We start from the raw sequence: 11,471 nt of genomic DNA, 5'->3' as shown, positions 1-11,471 counted from the left end.
AGAAATTCAATACGGAAAATGTAGAAGCCACTCTTGCCCTTGAAAGCATACACTTGGACACAAACACAAAACTGGTTTCCAAAGTTTATTAAAAATCAAAGAATAGAAAAACTTTACATAAAAATATGTCAATTTTAGCTTCCATATTGTTGTCCACACACAAAAAAATCGAAACATGATATCTTTTTGTCAAACCTGTAGCACGCGACCACAGTGGTAGCCAGGCCAATTCATTTGCTTCACCATGACGGAAATGGAACATGGTACCTGTGTCTATGAATCGAGTTTTAAAATGCACACCCCACGGGACACGCACTGCCAGACCCGTAGTGGTTTCCTTAATGTGGGTTTACAGTCAATATTGCTAATGCGTAGAGATTAGTACAGGCCTACAGATCAGTTTTTATAAATATTCTTTATCAATAGGTTCACAATTTAAATATTTTAAATATTTTTGATAACTTTCGGTCATCGAGAACTGCAGACACAGTGTGCTACTCTATTCTGGAATGCCTCCTAGAGAACCTGCAGTCGCAGCTGACAGCTCCCAATGACAGAGTGAGCCAGTCCTGCTTCAAAAGGGCAGACCGCAGACATTTTAAAGCTTGTCCTTGCTGGGCGTCGATCACATTCAGAGATCAATCTAGAACTCCCCACTGCTGCACATGCATCAGATGTCATGGTAATAAGTATCTTGTCTTGACATTCTCCACTAGTGGACTTCAAAGACCAACCTACCTGTAGTGTTTAGCAAGACCAGACCCCCGTTTTAAAAACAGGAAGTCAGATGGCCTACAAGATGCAACCAACTCCCAGGACAACTGTGGTGCTCCAAAAACTCAGGGTTAGGCAGGATGGATATATTCTTGTTCAAAAAAAGGTAACAAAGACAGTGGTTGTTGTGGCAGAATACACTTGCATAGTATACCTGTATGCTTCCGACGTCGGGCGCCAGCGGTCCCGGCCCCAACGCTGGGCTGTGCTCTCCTGCGACACGATCCGTTAAAACACTCCCCACGGCGCACTGGGCAGCTGAAGCACTTCTCCTAGATTTGCTCTTAACAGAACGAATGCATACGCTACAGATTCCTCAACGGAATCAACAGAATTCCTTTCTCCACATTCCTAAAACTGGGTACCACGGTCCGCAATAATAGTCACCAGACCCATCATCACAGGCTATGTCACTAAAACTGACCGAAGCGTTTTCCAGTTCACATTTTCCTAAAGATTTTATAATGTGACAACCCTTCTCTCCTTAGAAAGTTATACTTCTGGCACTTGAAATGCTGGATTTGTTGTCCAGTTTAAAAGAAGTGAAAACCAAAACATTAAAACTCTGTGGTCAGAGCAGGACAACGGCCTGGGGCCCGACAGCAGGGCCACGGGCAGTCTGCCAGGTGGCTCTGGAGCCAAGCCCTTTGGAAAACCTTCAGGGCGACCTGGCTCCTTCACTCACTTCCGACCAAAAGAAAAGACATCAAAATAAAACCCCAAACCCCTCATCATGGTGTTTGTAACGATGCTCGTCAGACAACCAGCCGACACGATGACCCAACTTAGAAAATGCAGCTCGGGAAAGGACCTAAGCTTGTTTAAAAAAAATTCCCTCCTCCCTTAAATATAACTTATGTGAAAATAGGAAATTAAATAAAAAATATCTGAGTTATTGCACAAATCATAAGTTTTCAATATTTACATAGAAAAACAGTTCTGAAATTTCAAACAAAATGTGAGGGCAGTAAAACAATGACCTCCCAAGCTTATCCGTGGAGGAAAGACACACGAACGGGGTTTGATCTCCTCTGCTGCTTTGACGAACAGGAAATGAAAATAGCAAACCGCGAAGGAACAGACACGGCTACCTCAAACCGCAAGCGCATGTTCACGTCCCTGCAGTTCCTGAGCCCGACCTGCCTCAGCACTGAAGGAAGAATCCTGGGAAGGCAGAAAACAACGTCCACGTTTAATAAGGCTTCACAGATGAGCACAACGAGCTGTTCTTGAAGATGGACGCGACCACCACACGAAGAAACATGCAGAGTGATCAGCGGCGGGCGTGCCGCGAGCCCGGCTGACGTGCGGGGTGCTGGTCTCGGTTCCCCTGCCGGTGGCCGAGGCCGCGGGGCAGTCTGCAGAGGGGTGGGGGAGGCTGACGCAGCCAGGAGCCATTATCTGCTGAGGCTCACGGGCAGACTGTCCCGTGTGTGTGTGTGTTTTTTCCTCCTCCAGCCGGTGCGGTTATACTGGTGGTGTCCCCTGTTGCCCACAGGGGGCCGCACACCTCCGCTACCCACAGAGCTGTAGCCGCCGCCTTGGGTGTGGCCGTGAGAGCCCTTCATGGACAGTTTCATGCCGTTGTGCTGCTGGAGAAAGAGAGAGACAGCAGTGTTGGAGCCAGACAGCAGGCACAATGCCCACGTCCTCGGGCAGTGACCACACTAAGCACCGACGTGATGTTACATAGAGAGCAGGGATGGACACCTGCCCTCTGGGACTTCCCAACTCCTCCATCTGAGAGAAAAGCATTCTTCCCATTCCGTGAATGACTAAAGGCAAGAACCATGTACCAGGATCAAACCACACAAATTCAGCAGAACCTCACTTCTAACTTGTTCCACTTATCCATAGAAATAAGAAGGTCCCTAGCCAGGTGCCAATGGCTTGCACCTGTAATTCCACCACTTTGGGAGGCCGAGGCAGGCATGTCACTTGAGGTCAGGAGCTTGAGACCAGCCTGACCAACATGGTGAAACCCCGTCTCTACTAAAAATACAAAAATTGGCTGGGTGTGGTGGCACACACCTGTAATTCCAGCTACTCAAGAAGCTGAGGCACAAGAATTGCTTGAACCCGGGAGGCGGAGGTTGCAGTGAGCTGAGATCACACCACTGCACTCCAGCCTGGGTGATGGAGTGAGATTCTGTCTCCAAAAAAACAGAAGTAAGAAGGTCCCTGTCATGTTCTTCCCCCAGCTGTGACCTTCTAGAAAGAACCAAGCAAGTCACACGTGCCAGGACCTGGCGCTCTCGCCCTCAGCAGCCTGTCGATCCCAGCATGCAGCAGCCTGTGCTTGGGCTACACCCAAAGCACATTCCCTGCACTGCAAAGTCGCGGCCAAGCAGACTGAGAGGGAACACACGCCGGCTTCAGGAAAGTCTCAGAGCAAGAAAAACAGCAGGAGGAGACTGGGAAAGCAAAGCCAAAATGCAAAGAAGAGGCCGGTGTGCGAAGTTGTTCTTTCACCCTGAATGTGTCTATCGGGGATGGATAAATCCAAGAGGAAATGTTCTATTACTTAACTCCTAAAAACAATCATCATACAACACAGGGCCAACAAAGCCTCAAGAATAAAAAACTTACTGGCAAAATAGGATTAGACAAGCAAAGGAGGAGCGGAATAAAGAGGTGTGGACACCGATGAAAGCACCGAGCATCCGCAGAGCCCAAGGAACATCACACACGACGGGGGCTGACCTGGAAGATCCTCGCCATGGCTCTCCCAATCATTCAGGTACTTCAAGAATATAGAGACTTAACGTGACCTGTTTCCTCCATGCACACAGCTGGACTTGAGAGGAGCCACAAGGGCACGCATGCCAGGGCCCTGCTGAGGCCCAGCACACAGCTCTGCCAGCCCTGACGCTTGCTCCTGCCCCAGGCGGGGATCAGGCAACGTGGGAATGACAGCAGCATACACGGGACATCATGGCAAGATCTGCTCTTGGTTTTATCATTTGCTTCTTGAAAACCAAGGTATTTAGCATATAAATGAATTATGTAAATGGGAAAAGTCTTCATTTTGAGCCTTATTTCAAACTTCAGTTTTATGCTAATCAGTTCAACAGAGGAATTAAGAGATGTTTGTGGCAACCAATTAAACTATATATTACATCTTAAAATAATTTAACTTTTTTAAGTTTTGTTTGGAAAGACAAGCAAACAGGCTGAATGACAACAAAGCAAATTCCGTTTTCAAATGATCTCTCTGGAATTCTCTCTGGAGGAGAAAACATTTAGCACCGCCTCTCACATGGCAGCTTGAACAGGTAGGTGAATGCACCAGGACAGAGCTATACCTTATGATACAGATGAGGGCTCGAGAGCGGGTTGGGGGACGCTGAGGGAATGGCCGGGGAAGACATGTGGTGGACGGCTTTCAAAGACGCAGTTCCTTCTACACCAGCTTGTCTGCAAGGAACAGGAGCAACCCCTAGGGTCGGTGGAGGTATAGTAAACCTGGTCTAGGAACAAAATGAGAGACGGCCATGGGTACCAAAGCAATCAGAGGAAAACCATCCGGCTTCTAAGCTCAGCACCACCAAAGGGCAGCTGATAAATGGCACAGTTGCATGTGGGCTCCATAGAGCAGTCTGTTTTACTATTACCTAACAATATTGTGCTTTGAATTGGAAATACTTCGTATTCTAAAACAGCAACTGGCATATAAAGTATGCCCAGTAATCCAAGTCATAAAGTTTGAAACTCATTGAAGATCAAACGATCAAGACATTAGAGTCATCAGAAGAACAACCGTCACCCCCGTGGTGAACCCCCTACTCACACGCTGAACTCAGGGGTCACAGCCCAAGGCTGGCCCAACTGGTGGCCTGAGAGGCCGTGGGACGGCTGGCAGTTCCTTCCTTGCCTGCTGTCCAGGTCCCAGGCTGCTTCTATGTCAGCATCACCCGTTACTGTCAGCAGCAGAAGTGCGCTAACGAGAACCCCTTTTCTCAGACTTGCAATACTGACCTGGTTGCATCTTGGCATCCCGTGCATTTACCCCAACAACCTCTGGAGATTGACTGTGGCCAAGAGTCTTCTTAGATAAAAACCTATAAACCCTCAGCGTCCCTGGACTTCACACTCGAACCACACAAGCAGCCGCAGAGTGTGGCTCTGTAGCTCAGCAGCCGCACTGGGCTCTCAAGGGCCCCAAGGCTTGTGGGTGGTTAAAACAAACACCTTTGTGACACATGGCCAGGACGTCAGGGCCACTGTGATGACCATAAAAAGGCGACCAAGTTTATCTGTGGTATAATTCATTTTAAGAGTGTAAATAATTGCCCCTGAATTTTACACTTATGCTGCAATTAGACACGTTACGGTGTCCGGCTGGGCCATGGCTCTGCTCATCAGCTCTGTGGGTCATTACAGAGCCAGCATCCCAGAAGCTCCGCCAGAATCACGGTGGATCCTGTGAGAATGTCTTCCCCAGAGCAGAGTGCAAAACTCCAAGAAATGAGTCAAAACACTTTTGCATGTACCTACATAGCTTTATGCTCAAATTATACCCCACATTTCAGAAAATGGTTTTAAGTCAATTAACATGTTGGGTTTTATACCCACACATATTCAAGTGATGTATAATCGCAAGTAGATACAAAATTTAGTATTTATAAAATTATCCTTTAGATTTCTAATTTTATCTAAATTTTAAAAACAGTATATTCCAACAGAAAAAGCCTTAGAAATTATGCCTAATTTCAAACATGAAAAAAGTCTAATAAGTTCACATTAAAACTTTCATTGAGATTCTGAGAGGAAGTAGGGACAAGTGTCTGGCACGGCTTGGCGCCCAGCTAAGTGGGTCGTGACTGAGTCGCTCTCTCAAGATGACCCTCGACAGCAGTCTCATGCTGGGGCAGTGAGGAAACTTGCAGGAAGGCAGTCAACCTGGCCCCCGTGAAAAGCCACGGCAGCACTCAAGAACCACAGTGTCCTCGCTGCTGAAACTATACATGGGGGACCTCAACACCACAAAAAAGAGAGGATTTCCTAGAACAACACACCAATGGCCAAATACTCAAAAAGTTACTCTTCTAATTCAAAGGACCATCAATCTCCTCTAGTGCATATCACAGCTCGGATGCTGTTCCCAGGGGCCACCAGCGGGAAGGGTGCCAGAGGGCCACGTACCTGATTGTTGGTTGTCATGATCAGTGTTCTGGAAGTGGTGGGCTGAGGTTTGCCACTGGGCATTGGCAAGGCGGTGGGTAAGCCGGCCATGAGAGGAGCTGGCGCTTGCAGACTGAACTGGTAAACACTGGGCGTTGTGCAGGGCGGTGTGTCTGAATCCTTGAACCCGGTACAAAAAACAAAAAGGACAGCTGTACCACAAAGGTGCACTACTACTTCCTTAAAGCTATGAAAAGAAACGCCTGCATCCAGGCTGGCTATGAAAGGTTATTCAAATTAAGTCTAACTTCTGAACAGGCAGCCCAAACCTACCCAGGCTTCCTTCAAGTAATTTCATCACAACTGAAAAAGAATGTTAAAGGAAATACAGAAGAGATACTTGGATTTAATTTTTTTTTTAATCTTCAAATAAATTTTTAAAAACTACTCAAGGAAGTCCACTGTAGTTCAACCATTTAGAGGATTACTGCCCTCGACAGCCGCATGAGTCGCACAGACAGGTTCTGAAGGTTCACGGCAGGGGAAAGGAAGCCTGGTGCCCACATCACGGGGCTGCCCCCCACCCACCTCCACACACATACAAGGAAACAAAACCTGAGCAAAACCAAGGGGGAGATTTTAAGCTCGCGGCTATGGACATTTACCAGAGACACAAACTGTCCAACAGACACACGGAGGAGGGGAGGGCACTTACAACGTCACTCCCAGAAAGTGAAGACACAGAAGAGGCCGAGGAGCCTGAAGACAGGAGCTGGGGGCTGGACAGCGACAAAGTCAAGCGCTGGCCATAGGGAGACTCGGGCTCTCGGTTCTGCGTCTGCTCCCCATTGCATGTGGCTATTCGCTCTTTGATCTTGATCCTGCTGTCTGTGGAGGGAAAAAGCCTTGGTTAATAACTCCTGAGAACTGCGGCGTGGAGCCGCCCCGGCAGCATCAGTCACGGGCTCTGCTGAGCCGGGAACGCTGCTAATGTGACTAACAAACCCAACATTAGGTTTTGCCTAATTTAATTTTAAAAATTACATTCAATTAGTTGTTGGAAAACATTAAACATGTTTGTAATAACTTGGGTATGCAAATCATCTTCAACTGTGAACTTTCTAAAATCTAAATATAGATCAAGTATTTTTTACGAAAATTTAGCATCCTAATTAGGATGTACTATAAGTACGAATAAATACACACCGGATTTCAGACAGTACAAGAAACAGCTATAAAATATCTTAATTATTTTTATGTTGATTACATGTTGAAATGTTAATATTTTGACTTGAGTGGAATAAAATCTATCAAAATTATTTCACCTGTTTCTTTTCACATTTGACACAGCCTAGAAACTTTGAAATTCTATGTGTGGCATGCATTATATTGCTTCTACTGGACAGTGCTGCTCTAGATCTTATTGTCTTCTTAATTAATGCTCATCAGAAAAACTAGCTATTTTCTTAATTTGACCAATTTACCACAAAGGAATAGAGACACTTCTGCATGAACATGCCAGCCAGTGGTTAGGATGAACACAAATGAATTAATCTCTCACCCATGCCTGGCGACGGGTGGGCTTTGCTGCCCCACTTCTCTTTGATCCACCTCCGGTAGTCAATCACCTCCTGAGTTACTTTGATGATTCTTCCTAAAGTACTGCAAAGGGACATTGTTGGAGATCAACAGAGTACAACAGGTGTCAGGGAGCTGAGAACCCCTCTCGAACAGCTACCTTATACCCCTAACAGATCATCTCGCTAGGTGAAGGACAGTAGGAAAGGAGCTAAAATACGTTGACAAATATCTCTGACTTTTAATGATTCAGCTCAAGCATACCCTGGGATCGCAGTACATCTACCTACAGAAGACCACTGTGAAATGCAGCTCCAAGTAGGGGAGCGGGGCCTTCCCACCCACGATGATCATACAGTGCTGACATTTCACTTCCCACTGCACGGACGAGAATGGAGACGGTACCGAGACGAGTGCCCTACATGGGGCCCAGAGCTCCGCCTGAAAACACCGAGCAGACAGCGGCTCAGGAACACACAGAGCTCCAGCACCACCAGCACCTGCAGCGGCTGCTGAGCCAGGCCTCGAAACCTGTTTATTCCATCATCCACCACAGAACAGATCTATCAAACTGTTTCGAATTCCACTCTTGACGACCACGTTACTCTTCCTTCCCATTCCTATCTCATCTCCCACCCCTTCAAATACCACCCTTTCCACTACCACAGAATGATCTGGGTGAGAAGTAAATACTTCTGACTACATTTTGGGACTGTAAAAATGCCCCAAAATGTAGAACAAGGGACGAGTGTACATAAGAGAAGATGGTAGGGACTGAATTTTAAAAGCCAGAAATCACCTCCCCAAAACAAAAGACCCTGAAGAAAATGTCAAATCTCCAAGAAAGAAATTTTCAACTCTCAACCATGGATGAATCCCACACAGCCATCCCATATTCCTAGAAGGCCTTCCTTCACCAACATATCTAGATTCTACTGAAATACGGCAGAACATCCCTTCATAAATTTCATGGAGGTAAATGACACAGGAAAGGGATAAGTACCATCCCACAGGCACGCTGAGCCCAGACGCAGACACACAACCCATTACCTTTCGGCGTCTCTGTTTGGATAGGACCTGGCCAGCGGTGACACAGCATGGCTGAGCACTATGTAGGCATAATCGAAGACCTGCTTCACCTGCATGGCGCCATAGGAGCTCCGGCCAACGTCATTCCCTGCAGCAAAAAGGCTATGTCAGACCCTCCCCACATGCACACCATCGTCCACATGTTTTGGATCTTCTCATACAAGTGACTCTGAAGCAGGCCCTCACCACTGAAACTCTTCCAGACCCTACCAGCAAAGCCCAGACAGGCGAACACAATGGGCACGGGTGGCACTTGGCACTGGCAAAGGCCCTGTCAATCACCATGCACAGGGCACAGTCTGTGAGTGCCGAGAGGACTGGTCTGCATCATCAGTGCCCCTGTGCTCATGGCCCACCTCACGGAGGCGGCTGCCATTCACAGACGGAGTGACAGCCCACAAAAAGCCACCTCTCCAGGTGGCAGAAACATGAGGAAGCCAAAGACTACCATTGTGCAGACCAGCAGCACCGACCCACTGTGATCGCTGATCTGACAATCAGGAGGCCTCACAGTGCCCCAACAGGGCAGGTAGAAGGGCAGCTCACCCCAAGTGCATCACAACTCAGTCAACGCTAATGGAACCTACAGGAAGTAAATCCTTTAGAATGGAATGTGAATTCTCACGTGTGGAAAACTGGGACAGCAAATCAAAGGAATCTGTCACAGCAGTCACCAAGGAAGCCAGTCAGGAGAAGCTTAATTTTCATAAGAAAAGCACTGTTTCTAATTTTAATCTACAAACAACTCATTCTTCACAATCAGGTTAAGTGTGGATTTCTTTTAAAGGATATATGTTCTAAGTACTGGAGTTTTATCTTTTCTAGATTTATATTATAACTCAACGATTATGTGGGTCTTTGTTTTTTGAGTACATTTCAGCAGACACTTGAAGACAATGCCAATGTCTCCAATGTGACTCATCCAACGGACAAAAATGGATGATACACTGCCATACCGTGCTACCAAGAAAACCACTCAAGAGCCTGCACAAATCATGCCATCTATAAACAACAACAAAACACATCAGCCAATGTGTTTTCCTTGAGACGATCTTTAGGAAATAAATAAAGCTCACATCCCAGAAGCCATAAAACAAAAACAACCATTAAATCTGAGGTGTTTTTTTAAATGTATAGGAGCTGAATAAAAAAATACAAATGCAAAAAACAAATTGGAAAAAGTATGACATGTGTGACAAGAAAGGCTTCCCCGACACACACAGGCCTTGCACACAGCAGAGGAGGGCAGCCAGCAACCGGGCGGACAGCACACAGAGCCACACAGAGGAGAAGGCCCAGGGACACGCGCCTGGAGCTGGGCTCTCCACCACCTGTTCTGTCACCCGTCCGCCAACGATTTTATCACCAACAGTAAGAATGGTATCTCACCTAACAGACGCTCAATCAAAATTTGTGGAATTCATAAATAGCAATGTGTTTAACCCCACTAATCATTAAAGAAATATAAATTTAAAAGCGTTAACACATGGTTTTATCAGATTGGCAAAGATTTTAAAAGACTGTCACCAAAGGAATGAGGACATAAATACCCCTGAATACGCCAATGGGAATAAAACCGGGAAACCTCTAGCCCAGCCTTAGACTCTTCAATGCGGCAATCCTCACGACAAAACACAACCTACACACATAGGAAAGGGTCAAGGGTAAGCGTTAAGTCAAAAGCCAAGTGACAAACGTGTTTGCGTTGTGGGATGTGTTCAACAAGATAACAATAATAAACATTAATATCCATATAGGGAAAAAGTGGAGAAATACATGTCCAAATAAAAGGGGATTATGGCATCCATGGTTTTTCTATATTACATACTTCAGAGAAACAAATGGTTTAGGGTGGATATGTTATACTTCAATAATCAGAAAAAGAAAAGATTTTCCTTAATTCTTCTTTATTATAGAATGTAAACAGTTAGAAAGACAAAAGTTAATTAGAAGCATTAAATAAGGATTTCTCAAAGTGTGATTATTAACTGGTTAGTATAAGAGAAACCTGCATCAAGAGCAAATGAACTGCCCGGGGCTCTCAGAGCCCCAACACAGGCCCTGTCACCAGCACGTCCCCGAGGCTGGCCCAGCTCTCAGCAGTGGAGATCAGGGCGCCCTTACCTGGCAGCAGGGGGTCCTCAATGCACAGCATCGACGGTCTGTACCCGCTGGTCATGGCTTTCATGATCTCCTCTTTGGCGATATAGGCACCTCCTTCTTTGATTCTAATACCGGTTTTCAAGTAATTAAAATTTCTCCCATAGAGTTCAAAAAATTCTACAAGAAGCATTCCAAGGTTTTCATCAGCTCTCCGGGCATCAATTCTTGGATGCAACTGTAAAAGCAATGCACCCACAATTTGTATGGATTCATGGCATGTTCTAAAGAAAATAGCACGCGACGAAGTCTGCTGTCCAGCAGCCTCTTCAAGGCAATACCAGTGAGTGGCACTCGCTCACTCACCAGCACCACGAGGAAGCCTGAACAGCAGCCTCTTCAACGAGGAGTGTTCAAAAGGAACACAACGGACTCATCTGAATTTTAGTGTAGTTTGATTTTTGAAATTGGTAATCCATACAGCAAACTTCCTGCAAACACAGATATCTGATTAACCAAATATGGGCAAATAAGTTGGACTATATTCTGCATAACTTAGTCACCTGGATGGTAGATGTAATTTCAGATTCTCGTCATCCTAATTTCGTTATGCTGAAGCACAACCAACAGGGGTCAGTGTTAGACTGACTAGTATGGCAGTATCACATAAAACCGGAAAAGTGAAAGGATTGATTTTAGCTGTGTAAAGGTCATTAGCATTATATCACAATATTTATAGCAAGCTTCCATCCTGCTTGTCACACAGATGAGCACCACTCTCAGTTCAGTGCCATATCGTCTTCAAA

The 11,471-nt window shown here is 46.0% G+C and overlaps 1 protein-coding gene across 8 annotated transcripts in view; it reads right to left on the bottom strand.

Annotated features, from left to right (window-relative positions):
- Positions 1–72: 72 nt before the first annotated feature.
- The window catches only part of TENT4A (terminal nucleotidyltransferase 4A), a 43,613-nt gene continuing 32,214 nt past the window's right edge, over positions 73–11,471 (bottom strand). For 6 of the 8 annotated variants that reach the window (NM_006999.6, XM_047416667.1, XM_047416666.1 and 3 more), the window contains 7 exons: positions 10,690–10,903; positions 8,527–8,653; positions 7,460–7,560; positions 6,614–6,786; positions 5,920–6,078; positions 4,080–4,244; positions 73–2,366 (listed from right to left, as the gene is read on the bottom strand). In NM_006999.6, the coding sequence (NP_008930.2) occupies positions 2,172–2,366; positions 4,080–4,244; positions 5,920–6,078; positions 6,614–6,786; positions 7,460–7,560; positions 8,527–8,653; positions 10,690–10,903 (1,134 nt within the window). In that variant the 3' untranslated portion in view covers positions 73–2,171. The remainder of the gene's footprint in view (positions 2,367–4,079; positions 4,245–5,919; positions 6,079–6,613; positions 6,787–7,459; positions 7,561–8,526; positions 8,654–10,689; positions 10,904–11,471) is intronic. The other 2 variants (NM_001171805.3, XM_047416668.1) reach the window with 1 other exon arrangement.

Source organism: Homo sapiens, chromosome 5 (genome assembly GCF_000001405.40).
Source record: "Homo sapiens chromosome 5, GRCh38.p14 Primary Assembly".
In the NCBI taxonomy this organism is placed as follows: domain Eukaryota; kingdom Metazoa; phylum Chordata; class Mammalia; order Primates; family Hominidae; genus Homo; species Homo sapiens.
The sequence above is the reverse complement of the archived record's forward strand: the minus strand, read 5'-3'. Positions and strand labels throughout refer to the sequence as shown.